Here is a 16,265-nt window from a genome sequence, read left to right as displayed (position 1 = left end):
AGATTGCCCCACTACACTCCAGCTCAGGGGCAACAGAGTGAGACTCTGTCTCAAAAATAAAAATATATAGTTTGGCTTTGAAGCAAAGATTATAATAATCCTTCCCTAAAATGAATTCCCTCCCTGTTCAGGGGCTGAAACTGCCTTTTTAAAACTAATGAAAGGCCATAAGATTAGGGTTATGGGAGGGGCCTGAGTTCTGCTAAAATGTAGGCATAGTTTCTACAATCTCTTATTGCTCAGGAGTCCTGTGGCCAGAGGTCACAGGATTTGTGACTTCTCCAATTGCTCCTATAGATAACACCACTACTGTAAAACCTGAGATTTTTTTTTTTTTTTTTTTTTGAGATTTTCTCAGACTGACTCCACCTGGACTCGTGACTCATGACTCAGCTGGTCCTGTGGCTCCACCAGAAGTGGACTAAGTGCACAAGGACTATTTTCCACACCCCTGTGATTTCCTCCCTGATCACTCAGCAGTACCCATTCCCTAGCTCCCTGCCCACCAAATTGTCCATTAAAAACCCTAATCTCTGAGCCTTCAAGGAAACTGACTTGAGGAGTAACACCATCTTCTGTGTGCCTGGCCTTGTGTCAAATTTTTCTCTACTGCAATGCTGAGGTCTCAGTAAATCGATTTTTGTCTGTGCAGTGGGCTGGAAGGAGTCAACAGGTGATTATAGTAATTCTATATAATATTCTTTAAGATAAGTGTAGAAAAGAATTTCAGAAATTTATTTCATTGTTCATAACTTGTAATAAAGATATTTAAAATACAATGTTTGAACACTGCTTCAGCAGTATCATATAGAGTCTGATGTGCAATATTTTTGTTATCATTACTTTTTAGATGGTCTGCAATTTCATTTGGATTTTCCTCTTGGGCCCGAGAGCTATTTAAAACCAAGATATTTTATTTCCAAATACGTAGGGGCTTTGGTTTCCTCCTTATATTATTGTCTTCTAGTTTTATTGCCTTGGTACTAGATAAAGTTGTCTGTACTGTTTTATCCTTTTTTTTTTTTTTTCTCTCTTTTTGAGACAGAGTCTCTCTCTGTCACCCAGACTGGAGTGCAGTGGTGCTATCTCGGCTCCCTGCAACCTCCACCTCCCAGGTTCAAACAATTCTCCTGCCTTCGCCTCCGGAGTAGCTGGGATTACAGGTGCCTTCTACTTTGCCTGGCTAATTTTTGTATTCTTAGTAGAGACGGGGTTTCACCATGTTGGCCAGGCTAGTCTCAAACTCCTGACCTCAGGCAATCCACCTGCCTTGGCCTCCCAAAGTGCTGGGATTACAGGCTTGAGCTAGTGTGCCCAGCTGTACTGTTTTATCTTTTTGAAATTTATTGAAGGTTTTTTTATTGGAAATATAAAAATATGTATTTTCTGTTTTCAGAAGCACAGAATTTGACATATATCTACCTTACTAATTATAAATTCACTATACCCTTGTTTGGCTTTCTGCATACTTTTGAGAAGAGTTAAAGTATCCCACCATTAATGTATTTCTCTCTACTTTTCTGTTGTAGACCTTGAAGGAAATTAAAATATTTTAGCCCCAAATATATTTCTTTGACATATTTTGAAATGGCTGCCCCTTGGTCAGAAAACGGAAGTGGCCTAGCAAAGCTGTCCTTTGTGGGGAAAATTTGCATCTGTAGAGAATCTCCACTAATGCAGCCCTGCCTCTCTTTTCTATTCCTTTCCCGATCCAGGAGAGACTGGCAGTCTGGCACCTTTAAAGGTGTGGAAATAAACTTTTACCATGTATTCCCTCTGAGGGAGGCTTCTCTGTACAACAAGGCCACCATTGCTAGCAAAGCCTCTTCCTTCCTTTCTTCCTCCCATAACCTGCCTTGCCACTAAATCCTGTTTTTGGACATACTCTGAGTCCGCATTGTTTCTGCAATTTCAAGGTGGTATATAAGCTTCTGTTACTTATTGGGAAATTGGGTCCGCATTCTGAAGGCTCCTGTGTATACATGTTAAATAAATTTGTACGCTTTTTCTTCTATTCGTCAATCTGCTTCATGTCGGTGATTTTTTAGCAAACCTTTAGGGGGTCAACAGCCCATGGCCTCCAACACCTTAACTTTTGCTTTAAGGGCTATGCTTATATCAATGCCATGTTATTTGTAAATAGATATTCATAACTGTTATTTTTGTGAATTTCAACCTTTAGCATATAAAGTGTCTGTGTCTTATTTAGCACTTATTCCCCCAAACTCAGTCATATTTGAATTTATTTATTTATTTATTTTACCAGAAACACGTACACTTTATTGAATGCCGTCGTAAAAAAGTGTGTGAGGATAAAGGGCTGATACAGGACTTGGCTCCGGGAGCAGGGCGAGGAATGGAAGGTGGAGTACAAAGGATACAGGTCATGGGTAGATCTCCTGGCCTCAGTGATGTCTCCTGATCTATCTATGGGCTTGGAAGATTAATACTGGGATGATGATGAGCAGAATGGTCATGAGGATGCCCAAAATCAGGGCCCAGATGTTCAGGCACTTGGTGGTGGAGGCATAGGCCTGGGCCCCAGTCACGTTGCCAACCATCTTCCTGTCCCTAGACTTCACGGAGTAGGCAAATGCTATGAAGCCCAGGCAGCAGGGGTTCATGAAGAGGGTGTTGAACAGGGACCAGACGACATGGTGGGGCACGGAGGTCTTGCTGCGGATGTGGATCACGGTGGACGTTGGGGGAGCAGGGTTGTGGGGCACCCCCAGCACAGCCACCTTGTGCTCCTCCTTGAGCATCTCATAGTTGGGGGGCTGGCCGCTGTTGACAGGAGAGAAGAAGGTTTGGACAGTGTGGTTCATGGTGTCCAGCGAAGACCAGCCGTGGTTGAGTTACTGGGATGGTTCTCAGTGGACCCTCCCTTTCCCCAGTAGTTTTGTTTTCTCCATATTTGAAATTAAGATAACAATTACTTTCGTTTGCATTAGCCTAGTACAGGTTTGCCCATTTATCTTTTTTTCTCTTCATTTTCTGTCCTTCTGAATCTATTAGTTTTAGGTTTGTCTTTGTTTTTATGGTATTGAATTATTTTTTATTTGTGGTTCTATCTGACTTTTTCCCCTTTTACTAGATGAATTAAACTCATTTACAATTATTACAATTGTTTAAAATTTTTGATATGAAAGACATGTTTGGTCATGACTATATCATGTTATTTCATGTTATAATTCATGGTTTCAAAGTTAAAAATATTTTCGTATGTGAGATGTTTTCGTATGTGAGATGTTTTTGTTGTATGTCCATTTCTTCTGATAATTATGCATGTTTGTATTTTGTCAAATGTCTGATCTTCTTTCTTTTTTTTTTTTCTTTGAGATGGAGTCTCGCTCTGTCACCCAGGCTGGAGGGCAGTGTCGCGATCTTGGCTCACTGCAACCTCCTCCTCCCAGGTTCAAGCGATTCTCCTGCCTCACGCTCCTGAGTAGCTGGGATTACAGGTGTGTGCCACACCACCAGGCCCAGCTAATTTTTGTATTTGGTAGAGACGGGGTTTACCATGTTGGCCGTGATGGTCTCCATCTCCTGACCTTGTGATCTACCTGCCTCGGCCTCCCAAAGTTCTGGGATTACAGTCATGAGCCACTGTGCCCGGCCCTGATCTTCTTTCTTTAACCACTATTATCAATGCCCTATTCTGATAATTGCTAATAATTAAATTAGTAGCTTTCTTCTTCCTTCCACCTCCTTTTTCTCTCTACAACTTCTCAATTTTTGTTAATTATATTATGTTTCTTAATGTGTATATTTGTTCTGTTTAATAACAACAATCCCACATTTATTTTAGTTTTAAGCCAATTTACCAGCAGCGCTTATGCTATCTACCCAGTGCTTTCTAGTCATCTCTGGTTTGACAACATTTGTCCATTGGTGGATTCTTCATGTGAGTTAATACAAACAATACCCTTAAGATGTTGTGTTTTCAAAACTCTTTGGCTTTATATACATACATACATATGTATGTATATAAACAAATATATATATGTGTGTGTGTTTGTTTTGTCTTGTTTTGAGACAGGGTCTCACTGTGTCACCTAGGCTGGAGTGTGGTGGTGCAACCATGGCTCACCACAGCCTCAATCTCCTGCACTCAAGCGATCCTCCCACCTCAGCCTCCCAGGTAGCTGGAACTGTAGGCATGCATCATCATGCCTGGCTAAATTTTTTTTTAATTTTATTTTTATTAGGGACAAGGTGTCACCATGTTGCCCAGGCTGGTCTTGAACTCCTGGGATCAAGGAATCCTCCTGCCTCAGCCTCCCAAAGTGCTAGAATTAGAGACGTGAGGCACCACACCACCTACCTTTATATTTAAGCAACAGTTTGACTGCATACAAAATTCCTGGGTCACATCTCTTTGCTGGAGGATTTTATTGGTATGTATACATAATGTCTTCTAAGAACAAATGCTGTGGAGAAATCTGAAATCAGCCTGTTTTTCTCATTATAAGTGATTTATTCTCTGGCTTTTAAATAATTCTTTTTGAAATCTAATAATTTTATCAGGACATAGATTGCTCTTGACTACTTGGAATCTTTTTTAGTAATATGCCATTTTACATTTTTAGACTCGTTTCCTTTTTCTCTGCAATTTTTTAAAAATTATATTTTAAATTTGTTTCCCTGTTTCCTTATTTTTTTTTTCTTTGCTTTCAAGATCTGTGGGTATATGCTTCTCACCAGTTCTGGGAAATTCACAGCCATTATCTCTTTACACATTGCCTCTACTCTTTTCTCACTATCTTTCTAATTGAAACTAAGTGTATGTTAAATCTTCTTGATGCAGAACTGCTGGGCTCCAGGCTAAACTTCACCCTCAAGCCTGGAACCTCAGTCCTAAGTGAAACAGCTGACCCCATTTTTTCCACCCAAATGATTGCTTTTTTGGCCCGCTCCACCCCCTGTCATATGCCTATAAATACCAGACCAGCTAGCAGAACAAAAGGAAGAAAAAGAGCAACCTCAGCAGCTGATGCAAGTGGTCGGGGATACAAGCTGCTGAGCATCAGGAATACATGCAGCTGAGCATCGGAAACTACAGATAGACACGGCTTCAGAGAAAGAGCAGTTTCTTCCCATACCATCCCCTTTCCAATTCCCCATCCTGCTGAGAGCCACTTTTATCACACAGTAAAATCTTCCATATACACTACCCTTCAAAAAGTTTATGTGACCTGATTCTTCCTGGACTCTGAATAAGAATTCGGGTGTCAAGAAGGGCAGGTGCAGAAGGCTGTCAGCCTGGGCTGTTAACACTTAGCCATCCACGGACTGCAGGCTGAGTGAAACAAGCCACTCCAGTTCCTGCCCACAAAGGGGGTCAAGGTCAAGACTTGACCTTGAACTATGAACTATCCTGTCTCATTCTCATCCTATCTTACATATCTTTTAACCTTTTTTTCATATTTTCCATTTCCTTGTTTCTCCCTGTGCATTCTGGATCAGTTATTTAGATATATTTTCTGGTTCACAAATTCTCACTTGAGTTATCTAATCTGCTAGTTCATCCCTCCACTGAGTTCCTACCACCACTTCCCCATCCCCGACCTCATTTTTTTTTTTTTTTTTTTTTTTTTTGTTTTGAGACGAAGTCTCGCTCTGTGGCCAGGCTGGAGTGCAGTGGTGCGATCTCGGCTCACTGCAACCTCCTGCCTCAGCCTCCCAAGCAGCTGGGATTATAAGGCGCACACTGCCACACCTGACTAATTTTTGTCTTTTTAGTAGGGATGGGGTTTCATCATGTTGGCCAGGCTTGTCTTGAATTCCAGACCGCAAATGATCCACCCTTCGGCCTCCCAAAGTGGTGGGATTACAGGCATGTGCCATCATGCCTGGCTAATTTTTGTATTTTTGTAGTGACGGGGTTTTGCCATGTTGACTGGGCTGGTCTCAAACTCCTGATCTCAAAGGATCCACACGCCTTAGCCTCACAAAGTGCTGGGATTACAGATGTGAGTCACCCCATTATATTTTTAATTCCTGGTTCTTTTTGGATTGTTTCCAAAATGTTTCTGTTCATTCCTGTTTCTAGTTGAAGGCTCACTTTTTAAATTATATACTTCTTTAAACACTTCATACACAGCTGTTTTATGTCGTATATATGTAATTATAATTCTAATACTAGAAATATTTGAGAAATCTAAATCAGTTGTTTCTGCTGACTCTCACAGTGATTGCCTTCTTGTGTGTTTGGTAATCCAGTTTGTGAGTTGATGGCTTCATCATAATCTGTGGGAGTCCTCTGTACCAAACTTGGAAAGTTCTCCTCCAGACAAGGTCGGTTTTCATTCCTGTCTGTAATGTTGAGGCTTAGAAACCAATTCCCCAAAATATGGCATGTTTACATCCTGAACTAAGAAGACTCAAGGTCTCTCTGATCTACCCACCCCTCACCAGCTCTTCCAAAGAGGCTCAAGTTCCTTTACCTGCCTAAGCTCCAGACCCACCAAGGAGAACAATAGTTTTCTTCCCTTCCCTGGGAAACCTGCCCAATTGTCCTGTAGAGGTGATGTTTATGGTTCTTTTTAATAAACATAGAAATTTATCCTCCTGGTCTTAAAACTTGAGAAAATTACATCTGTCTTATCTGAGTTGCTTTCTCAGAAAAGAAACCATCAGTCCTCCCAGACAGTATCAAGGAGCTGAAACTTACCAGATCATCACATCTGGACAAAGGGAGCCAGACGCCTCACCAATCATGACTGCCTGCTTCCTGTTGACCCCTTTCTCTTCCTTACCCCTCCCTAAAATTCCCGTTTTTCCACACATAGTTACATTTCTTCCCTGCTATACAAATCCCAAATTTTAGACAGTCAGGGAGTTGGATTTGGGACTGATCTCCCATCTCCTCTGCTGCAGCACTGGATTACAGCCTTCTTCCCTGGCAATACTCATTGTCTTAATGATTGGCTTTCTGTGAGGGGAGCAACAGGACCTAGACTGAATCTTGGGTGTTTTGGTAACATCTGTAAGACCGAAAATGTAACCACACCTAAACAGACCCTTTTTCAAGATAATGACTGACTCTCTCCAAGGATCATTTAAATTCCAAAGAGAACTACCTACAAGTTAATTTCTGTTCCCTGATCCAGTCATTCTCCCTAGCAATCATTTATTACCCCTCATCTAATCTAATCCCAAACCCTAAATCTAATAAAATACTTCTAAAATCTGCACCCCTAATGCCCTCCCACACTCAACCATTCCACTTACTTTGTAATTTAGAGAGGCCTAAATTTTGTTAAAATAGAGGCACAGCTAATAGATGTTTGTTACACTTACTTTCTTTCCCTTTGACATTTTCATCTACCAGGCATGATTACGTAACATAGTCCTTTTTTTTTTTTTTGTGATGAAGTCTTGCTCTGTCGCCCAGGCTGGAGTACGGTGGTGCGATCTCAGCTCACTACAGCCTCTGCCTCCCGGGTTCAAGCAATTCTCCTGCCTCAGCCTCCCGAGTAGCTGGGATTGCAGGCGTGTGCCACCACGCCCGGCTAATTTTTTGTATTTTTAGTAGAGGCGGGGTTTCACCATGTTGGCCAGGCTGGTCTCGAACTCCTGACCTCAGGTGATCTGCCAGCCTCTGCCTCCCAAAGTGCTGGGATTATAGGCATTGAGCCACTGCCTGGCCAACACGGTGAAACCCCGCCTCTACTAAAAATACAAAAAATTAGCCAGGCGTGGTGGCACATGCCTGTGATCCCAGCTACTCGGGAGGCTGAAGCAGGAGAATCGCTTGAACCCAGGAGGCGGAGGTTGCAGTGAGCCCAGGTTGTGCCACTGCACTCCAGCCTCGGCGACAGACCAAGACTCTGTCTCAAAAAAAAAAAAAAAAAGAAAAAGAAACAATGATCTTTAAGTCATGCAGACTGCCTTTGTATTTTCCAGAAGTTGGATCAACTGAGGAGTGCAAGCAGTTTCAATCACCAGGGAGCTCACCTCTTAAGCTGTAGGCGTAGTTGAATGATAGCCCATCATTGTTCTCTTGTTTGCTTTTCTATAATTGCTTATTGCTCAGGAGTTATGTAACAGGCAGTCACAAGCGCTATTGTGAAACCTGAGACTGATCTCTGAGATATTTTTCAGACTTTGCCTTCAGGTGAATCAACTGACACCAGCTTGAACAGTGACCGTGACTGCAACAAAGGAACTGACTCAACCGGTCCTCTGACCACTCCCCTGCAGGAAATGACTCAGCACATGAAGACAGTTTCAACACTCCTATGATTTCATCCCCCAACCAATCCACAACATCTGTTTCCTAATGCCCTACCTGCCAAATCATCCTTAAAAACCTTAGCCTCTGAATTCTTGGTGAGGTGGATCTGGGAAATGTATCCCGTCCTCCTCACTCTATTGCCTTGCAATAATCAAACTCTTTCTCTGCTGCAACTCCTGCTGGCTCAGTGTTTTGGTTTTATCTGTGCAGTGGGCAAGAACCAGTCAGGTGGTAACAGTTCTGATTGTTACTTTTGGGTGATTTCCCCTACAAAGAGGAAAAATACTAATTTTGAACCACCATATTCAATTCTTAAGGCTTCCTATATTCTTAGTGATAATGTCATTTTTGAAGATAACATATTTCAAAGTACAGTAGCTTTGAAGTATATTTGTATTTTGAAGATACATGTACTTGAAAAATTGAGTTTGGCAATGTGTTTCCACTAACATTAATTTAACAGGTAAGGCCGGGCGCAGTGGTTCACGCCTGTAATCCCAGCACTTTGGGAGGCCAAGGTGGGCAGATCACGAGGTCTAGGAGTTCGAGACCAGCCTGGCCAATATGGTGACACCCTGTCTCTACTAAAAATACAAAAATTAGCTGGGCGTGGTGGCTCGCACCTGTAGTCCCAGCTACTCGGGAGGCTGAGGCAGAAGAATCGCTTGAGCCTGGGAGGCGGAGGTTGCAGTGAGCCGAGATGGTGCCACTGCACGCCAGCCTGGGTGACAGAGCGAGACTCCGTCTCAAAAAAAAAAAAAATTTACCAGGTAAAAGTCATCTTGGTTTAAAATATTTTCACAACACTTTAATTTTTCATGTGGTTACCAGTGTGGCCTTATATCGCCAATGTTTAAAAAAATGTTATGGACTCCTGCCTCAGCCTCCCAAGTGGCTGGGACTACAGGCGCCGGCCACCATGCCTGGCTAATTTTTTGTATTTTAAGTAGAGACGGGGTTTCAGTGTGTTAGCCAGGATGGTCTCTATCTCCTGACCTCGTGATCTGCCCACCTCAGCCTCCCAAAGTGCTGGGATTACAGGGGTGAGCCACCGTGCCTGGCCAGAGGATAGTAGAAAATGAGAAGATTAATGCAGAAAAGTCATCAAAGCAGAAGGTAGATCTCCAGTCTTTGCCAACTCGTGCCTACCTGGATCAGACAGTTGTGCCTATCTTATTACAGGGACTTGCTGTGCTTGCAAAGGAAAGATGAGGAAACAGACTTGGAGAGGTTAAGTGACATGCTCAAGACAACACTGCTGGGTCTTGCTACGTACGTTGACCAGGTTGGAATGCAGTGGCGTGATCATGGCTCACTGTAGCCTCGACCTCATGGGCTCAAGTGATCCTCCCGCCTCTGCCTACCAAGTAGCTAGGACCACAGGCGAAGCCACCATGCCCGGATAATTAAAAAATAAAAAATTTATAGAAAAAAATGTTATCGAGGACTTTGAAAGTATTTCACTAAACCAAAACATAGTGATGAAAATAGTAATGTGAATATTAAAGTAGAGAATGTCACAAATATAAAAAATTAACAAGAGCCCCATTTTCACTGAGGAAATAGGTGAATATGATAATTTTATAGAAACAAGTAAAGAAAAATGTGAATAGAAGTATGAAAGTGGATATCTGAAAATGAGCAATCCAGCTACTCTTTTTTTTACACCATGTTTATCTTTTAAGTAAGTCTGTCAAGTTTTGACATGAAGTTAATGATGCTTTCATTTTGATTTTTTTTTTCTTTTCTTTTTTTTGAGATGGAGTCTCGCTCTATTGCCCAGGCTGGAGTGCAGTGGCGCGATCTTGGCTCACTGCAACCTCCACCTCCCAGGTTCACGCCATTCTCCTGCCTCAGAGTAGCTGGGATTACAGGCGCCCGCTGCCAGGCCCGGCTAATTTTTTGTATTTTTAGTAGAGACAGGGTTTCACCATGTTAGCCAGGATGGTCTCGATCTCCTGACCTTGTGATCCACCCACCTCGTTCTCTCAAAGTGCTGGGATTACAGGCGTGAGCCACCGCGCCCGACCTTCATTTTGATTTCTAACAAAACACTGAGCACTGGTAAACCAATTAAATTTTTCATTTCTAAAACAAAACAGCATAGTAAAAAATTAAATAATTCTTTTGCTAAAGTCAGAAAGAGGCCAAAACTAGATATCCATTCAGATTTGCACTTCTTATATCCTAAAACAGACAGTTCTTACTGCTGTCAAAAGGTTTGTAAAAACCTAATGTGAAATTATTCAAAATATGCTCAGAGAGAAAGCAAAACACACTGCTACTGGAAAATTACATTGTCAAGTGACTCATCTGACATTGTGTAACATTAGTAGCATTCATTATGAAAGAGGAATTACGGTCTTGTGTGCATGCTAGCAAATATCCTGTTCAGAATTGGATAAAGCCACCGACACTTGCCATCTGCCACAAAACATCCCCTATCAAGCTTGCCAACCATCTTTATCTTGCCAAATCTAATGATTTGTTCTCTATCCAAATCACAGTTAATTTCTCAGTAGTAGCTGACCATTATTTTCTTTTTGAAACACTTTCTTCTTGAAGTTTTCCTGAAGCCACACTGTTTCCCCTCTTTATCACTGGCTGCTTCTTCTCAATCTCCTTGCTAGTACCTGCCTCTTTTTTCTCCTCATCTTCTAAATATTAGGACTCTCTAGAGCTGGGTCCTTGATGCTCTTCTGTTTTTTGTGTACATTCTTTCCCTATTTAATCTCAGTCAGTCCCATAGCTTTATGACAAGCATGTTACGGATTCCCAAATGAATACCTAGAGCCCTGTTTTCTTCCCTGAACTCTGAATTCATATATCATTTGCTGCTTTATTATTATTATTATTATAGATGAGGTCTCACTACGTTGTCCAGGTTGGAGTGCAGTGGCTATTCACAGGTGTGATTGTAGCACACTGCAGCCTTGAACTCCTGGACTTGAGTGATCCTCCTGCCTCAGCCTCCTAAGAATAGCTGTGACTACAGGTGCATGCCACCCATAGCTGGCTAATTTTTAAATTTTTGTGGAGATGGGGGTCTCACTATTTTGCCCAGGCTGGTCTCAAACTCCTGAGCTCAAGCAATCCTCCTACCTCAGCCTTAGTAACTGGGACTACATCCATGTTCCACCACACCAGGCTCCAATTACATTTTGACTTCTCCACTTGGATGTTTAAAATGCTTCTCAAATTTAACATATCCTAAAGATAATTTTGTGTCTCCCCACAAAACTTGCTCTTTTTGCATTCATTGCTGTCTTAGTTAATGGCACCACCATCCATACTGTTACTTTAGCCAGAAACCTTTGAAACATCCCAATTGGTCTTTCTGATTTTCTCTGTTTCACAACTTATTCTCCACAGACAGGATACTCCAAACAGTACCCAAAGCCATTGTCTCTTATACTTTTCAATCTATAAAATATACATACATAAGAGTATATAAAATATATTATAAAGTAAATATCCATGTATCCAAACACACAGGTTTAGAACTGGAACACAATATGCAAAAGAATAATATTGGACCCCCTACCTCATGTCATATACAAAAATTAACTCAAAATATACCAAAGATCTAAATGTAAGAGCTGAAATTATAAAACTCTTCAAAGAAATCATAGGTGTAAATCTTTGTGTCCATGAATTTAGCAAGAATTTCTTAAATATGACCTCCAAAGCACAAGCAATCAAAGAAAAAAAATAGATAGGTTGGACTTCAACAAAATTAAAAATTTTCATGCTTCATAGAAACGGAACACTTTCAGGACATCATAAGACCTCTTCTTGCTCACATTTCCTCCCTTTCTGCAAAGATAAATGCAGTTCTTTGTGTGCATGTATTTGTGTGTGTGTGTGTGTGTGTATGTGTGTGTGTGCGTGATGATCATTCTCTTGCTTTAGTTTTATCTCACACTTATATCCATAAGCAATATCACCAATATTACAACCTAAACAATATAGTTTAGGTTTTACCCATCTTCAAGTTATATAAATGGAATCTCACTATTTTTTTTTTCTGTGACTTGCTGCTTTTTGGCTCAATATAATGTTTGTGAGCTTCATCTGTCCTTATGCATATAGCTGTAGCTCTGTATAGAATTTCATATATTGTAATTAATATCATAATTTATTATACTCTTTAATGGACTTTTGGGTGTTTTCAGTTATTATTAGTGCTACAATAAACACTTTGATACATGCTTTCTGGCACTTACATGCAAGAGTTTCTCTAAGATATATAACTAGGAGAATGTAGATATCAGACTGTCTAATAAACTTGAAGATGCACAGCCTTTCTTTTCCAAAATGGTTACAACCTGTTTAATGCTCTACCAAAGGGTGAGTTTCCATTGGTATTGTCAAAGTTCCTTGAGAGTGTCAGATTGTTTTTCCTACTTTTACCATCCTAGTGGCTTGTACAGTTTTTTGGGGGGAGTTTTTTGGAGACGGAGTCTTGCTATGTTCCCCAAGCTGCAGTGCAGTGGCTATTCACAGGCATAATCATACTGCACCATAGCCTTGTTAGATATGAGTTCTAAATTTCTTTTCAAAGAATTAATGTCAGTATGTTCAATTATTTGCCTTCTACTTTTAAACTTAACTTCCTCGTAAAGCTACCTTTTTCGATTACCTACTCCACTCTGACTCATTCTGGTCACCTACTCCACCCTAACTCATTCTGATTACCTGCTACCTGCCCTGCCCTGACTCCTGCCAAAGCACACACCCTGTCATTCTCTTTAAATTAGCCAATTGGAATTAGTTTAGCCTGTGAGGTCTAACCCTAGCCAATAGGGGAACCACACAGCAGCAGGGGCCACGTGTGTCAGGGATAAGAACCCCTTCCCCTCCCTTATCCAAGTGTGCGCTCACCATTGCTCCATCTGTAAGGGCACACCCTTCTATTGAAGTACCTTGCCTTGCTGAGAATTAAAAAGAAAATTTTATATTCGAGTGCTATTTCTTTTGCGGCACCGAACCTTTATATATAACAACCTCAAACTCCTGGGCTTAAGTGATCCTCCTGCCTCAGCCTCTAAAGTAGTTGGGACTACAGGCTCCTGTTACTGCCTCTGGCTTTTGTACAAGTTTTTTTGTTGTTGTTGCTTGTTTTGTTGTTGTTGTTTTTTTTTTTAGACAGAGCCTTGCTCTGTTGCCAGGCTGGAGTACAGTGGCGCAATCTTGGCCCACTGCAACCTCCGCCTCCTGGGTTCAGGCGATTCTCCTGCCTCAGCCTCCTGAGTAGCTGGGACTACAGGCATGTGCCACCACACCCAGCTAATATTTTGTATTTTAGTAGAGATGGAGTTTCACCATGTTGGCCAGGATGGTCTCAATCTCCTGACCTCGTAATCTGCCAGCCTCGGCCTTCCAAAGTGCTGGGATTACTGGCATGAGCCACCATGCCCGGCCTTGTACAAGTTTTAACATGTGGAAGTTCGTTTTTTGTTTTGTTTTTTTGAGGCAGAGTCTTGCTAGGTCACCAGGCTGGAGTGCAGTGGCGCGATCTCGGCACACTGCAACCTCCACCTCCCAAGTTAAAGCAATTTTCTTGCCTCAGCCTCCCAAGTAGCTGGGACTACAGGTGCGTGCCACCACGCCCGGCTAATTTTTGTATTTGTAGTAGAAGCGGGGTTTCACCATGTTGGCCAAGATTGTCTCAATCTCTTGACCTCATGATCCGCCCACCTCCGCCTCTCAAAGTGCTGGGATTACAGGCGTGAGCCACTGCGCCCGGCCAACATGTGGAAGTTCGAACATGTATTTCCCTGGTTGATTAACAAGACAGAACATTTTTCATATGCTTTTGACCATTTAGATTTCCTCTGTGGGGAAGTGCCTGCTTAAGTATTTTGCTGATTTTCCAATTGTGTGTGTGTGTGTGTTTTCATCATATTGATTTGCAGTACCTTTTAAAATCTAGATACACATCCTCTTCAGTTACTTGTGTTACATATATTTTCCCCAAAATTAATCTATTAAAAATGCATATCAGATCCTGTCATGTCCTTGTTCAGAGCAACCCTCCAACATTCTCCCAATTGCACTTAGCTGTAACCAAATCTCTATGATTCTCAAGGCACTATGTGATCTAGTCCCTGCCTACCTCTCTGTCTTTATCTCCTTCCCTAAGCTTCAGCAACACTGGCCTTCTTTTCCTTCCTCAATTACGTGTGTGAGACAGACTTGCACTCCCTCTTTTGCACAGTTTGGACAAGTGCCAGTTCTTAGTGAATGCTCAGTTGCACCTCTGCACTTCTGCAGGAAGTTGAAAGGCCCACCTGCAATGTTCATAACCTAGCTCTGATAAAATGTTTTCTGGCAGTTGTGCAAACCCAGGAAAAAAAAATTATAATGAAAATAACCCCACCCATAAAAAGGTAAGAGAAAATTAGGTAATATCTATTGCTAAGGCTTATATCCAATGGAAAAGCACCAATTTAAGTAGTAGACCAGATGTCACACATTAGGAGAATTAGTAAGTATAGAAGAAGCCCTGTAAGTCGGGTGCGGTGGCTCACACCTGTAATCCCAACACTTTGGGAGGCTGAGGCAGGAGAATCACTTGAGTCCAGGATTTCAAGACCAGCCTGGGCAATATATTAAGATCCTATCTCTACAAAAAATTACGATAAATAAAATAAGAAGAAGCCCTTCAGATGAGGCAAAGTCCCACCTAATCCTGGCTGCAGGTCTATTGAAGGCCACATATTCTGAGCAGCTTGAAGCCTAGGAAAACTGCATTCCTGGGAAAAAAACACCGATAGGAAATATCCCACCTGAAAATATAGGGTATTTCTCTATCTTCCATTAGAAGCTCGGTACTTAAGTTCCATACTGTTTTTTAGCAGATTAACAATAATTAAAGGTCTATTATGAAAATTTTTCACTGAATCTGACCCAGTCAAACCATTCTTATAATTCATATCAAGCTTGTCTTGTCTCAAGGTATTACATTACTATTCTTTTTTTAAATAGCAGCTTTATTAAGGTATGATTCATATACCATACAATTCACCCATTTAAAGTATATATTTTTAGTATATTCACAGAATTGTACAATTATCACCACAATCAATTTTAGAACATTTTCATCACCCCAAAAAGAAACTCTGTACCTCTAAGCAGTATATTTGCTCTTCCTTACCCACCCCACGGATTGCTAGTCCGCAGATTTCACAAGTCTGACAATTTCTTGGCAAATCTCAAGTAAAACATTGCCTCTCTAGAGAGACCACCTTACTACCCCTTTTAATTCTTCCTTGAATCTGTGGAGGATGGTGCTTGTTGTTTATAGTCATTCCTTCTCCCTTCCTCTTCTTTTTTAACAGAATCCTGATTTTGTTCAGGTATCAGATGGCCATGTGCTATAGGGGTATTCAGACTCATGCCCATCCTGAGGGATGAATTATGATTGATCTAAGTCATATCTCATTTCCCTTGGTAATGATTGGTTTAATCATAGCAAGTGCCATAGTACTGAGGATGCTGCTGTGAGTTCTTCTAGGCAAAGATTTTGTGTTCTTAACAAGAGAGATGTGAGAAAAATACAAGTACATGTTACCTGCCTCCAGGAACTTTAGTGTTCTCCTACCCTACCCTACAGTGTTATATTTCATTCAACAAACAACTGAGTGCTTAGTATGTGACAATGCATTGCTTATTTCTTAAACAGTGGCAAAAACAAATGCTTGAGAATCAGAAATATACTCAATTTTACTTTCTGTCTAACATGTCTAATGCCAATTCCAGCTGTCACATGCGTATTTCACAAGTAAAATGGAATAAGTCAAATAAGAGGCTCAAAGTAAAGCAATGAACTAGAATTTTCCTAACTTGCATCCTCAGTGCAAGGATGTATTGCTTGGACCTGCAGAGCCATCTTGAAAGCATGAGAGGAAAACTCAAGGGAATCACAGAGGTTCTGAGCAGGAATTATAATGTCATTAAGCCACTGAACAACCAACCCTGGAACTATCCTATTCTGACCTCCCTCCTCTTATTCTGACCTCCC

At 41.3% G+C, this 16,265-nt stretch overlaps 1 long non-coding RNA gene and 1 pseudogene across 3 annotated transcripts, besides 9 other annotated features; one reads left to right on the top strand and one right to left on the bottom strand.

Annotated features, from left to right (window-relative positions):
• Positions 276 to 570: an enhancer, noted in NCBI's record as "tiled region #3097; HepG2 Activating DNase matched - State 8:EnhW, and K562 Activating non-DNase unmatched - State 8:EnhW". NCBI's record gives its function as "activates a minimal TATA promoter and a strong SV40 promoter by Sharpr-MPRA in HepG2 and K562 cells {active_cell/tissue: HepG2 | K562}" and the evidence as "EXISTENCE:reporter gene assay evidence [ECO:0000049][PMID:27701403]".
• Positions 444 to 8,412, top strand: LOC105369724 (uncharacterized). Of its 3 annotated transcripts, XR_931501.3 has the most exons (4): positions 444 to 673; positions 4,209 to 4,397; positions 6,192 to 6,297; positions 8,107 to 8,412. It is a non-coding gene; the product is annotated as an uncharacterized LOC105369724 (long non-coding RNA). The 3 variants fall into 3 exon arrangements; XR_001749077.2 differs by lacking the exon at positions 6,192 to 6,297; XR_931502.3 differs by lacking the exons at positions 6,192 to 6,297; positions 8,107 to 8,412 and adding an exon at positions 4,808 to 5,173.
• IFITM3P2 (IFITM3 pseudogene 2) lies at positions 2,262 to 2,872 on the bottom strand (annotated as a pseudogene).
• Positions 7,569 to 8,153: an enhancer, noted in NCBI's record as "OCT4-NANOG-H3K27ac-H3K4me1 hESC enhancer chr12:31902326-31902910 (GRCh37/hg19 assembly coordinates)". NCBI's record gives its function as "activates a minimal SCP1, AML or CMV promoter by ChIP-STARR-seq in primed H9 embryonic stem cells {active_cell/tissue: H9 hESC(primed)}" and the evidence as "EXISTENCE:reporter gene assay evidence [ECO:0000049][PMID:30033119]".
• Positions 7,569 to 8,925: a biological region, named in NCBI's record as "P300/CBP strongly-dependent group 1 enhancer GRCh37_chr12:31901554-31902753".
• Positions 7,726 to 8,925: an enhancer, noted in NCBI's record as "P300/CBP strongly-dependent group 1 enhancer chr12:31901554-31902753 (GRCh37/hg19 assembly coordinates)". NCBI's record gives its function as "activates an origin of replication core promoter dependent on BRD2, BRD4, P300/CBP, MED14 and CDK7 cofactors, with strong dependence on P300/CBP, by STARR-seq in HCT116 cells {active_cell/tissue: HCT116}" and the evidence as "EXISTENCE:reporter gene assay evidence [ECO:0000049][PMID:35650434]".
• Positions 8,016 to 8,310: an enhancer, noted in NCBI's record as "tiled region #4305; HepG2 Activating DNase unmatched - State 5:Enh. and K562 Activating DNase matched - State 5:Enh". NCBI's record gives its function as "activates a minimal TATA promoter and a strong SV40 promoter by Sharpr-MPRA in HepG2 and K562 cells {active_cell/tissue: HepG2 | K562}" and the evidence as "EXISTENCE:reporter gene assay evidence [ECO:0000049][PMID:27701403]".
• Positions 8,154 to 8,739: an enhancer, noted in NCBI's record as "OCT4-NANOG-H3K27ac-H3K4me1 hESC enhancer chr12:31901740-31902325 (GRCh37/hg19 assembly coordinates)". NCBI's record gives its function as "activates a minimal SCP1, AML or CMV promoter by ChIP-STARR-seq in primed H9 embryonic stem cells {active_cell/tissue: H9 hESC(primed)}" and the evidence as "EXISTENCE:reporter gene assay evidence [ECO:0000049][PMID:30033119]".
• Positions 8,162 to 8,341: an enhancer, noted in NCBI's record as "active region_6177". NCBI's record gives its function as "activates an Ori minimal core promoter by ATAC-STARR-seq in GM12878 lymphoblastoid cells {active_cell/tissue: GM12878}" and the evidence as "EXISTENCE:reporter gene assay evidence [ECO:0000049][PMID:35858748]".
• Positions 8,362 to 8,431: an enhancer, noted in NCBI's record as "active region_6176". NCBI's record gives its function as "activates an Ori minimal core promoter by ATAC-STARR-seq in GM12878 lymphoblastoid cells {active_cell/tissue: GM12878}" and the evidence as "EXISTENCE:reporter gene assay evidence [ECO:0000049][PMID:35858748]".
• Positions 14,369 to 14,458: a silencer, noted in NCBI's record as "silent region_4330". NCBI's record gives its function as "represses an Ori minimal core promoter by ATAC-STARR-seq in GM12878 lymphoblastoid cells {active_cell/tissue: GM12878}" and the evidence as "EXISTENCE:reporter gene assay evidence [ECO:0000049][PMID:35858748]".

This window comes from Homo sapiens, chromosome 12 (assembly GCF_000001405.40).
Source record: "Homo sapiens chromosome 12, GRCh38.p14 Primary Assembly".
Classification (NCBI taxonomy): Eukaryota; Metazoa; Chordata; class Mammalia; order Primates; family Hominidae; genus Homo; species Homo sapiens.
The sequence above is the reverse complement of the archived record's forward strand: the minus strand, read 5'-3'. Positions and strand labels throughout refer to the sequence as shown.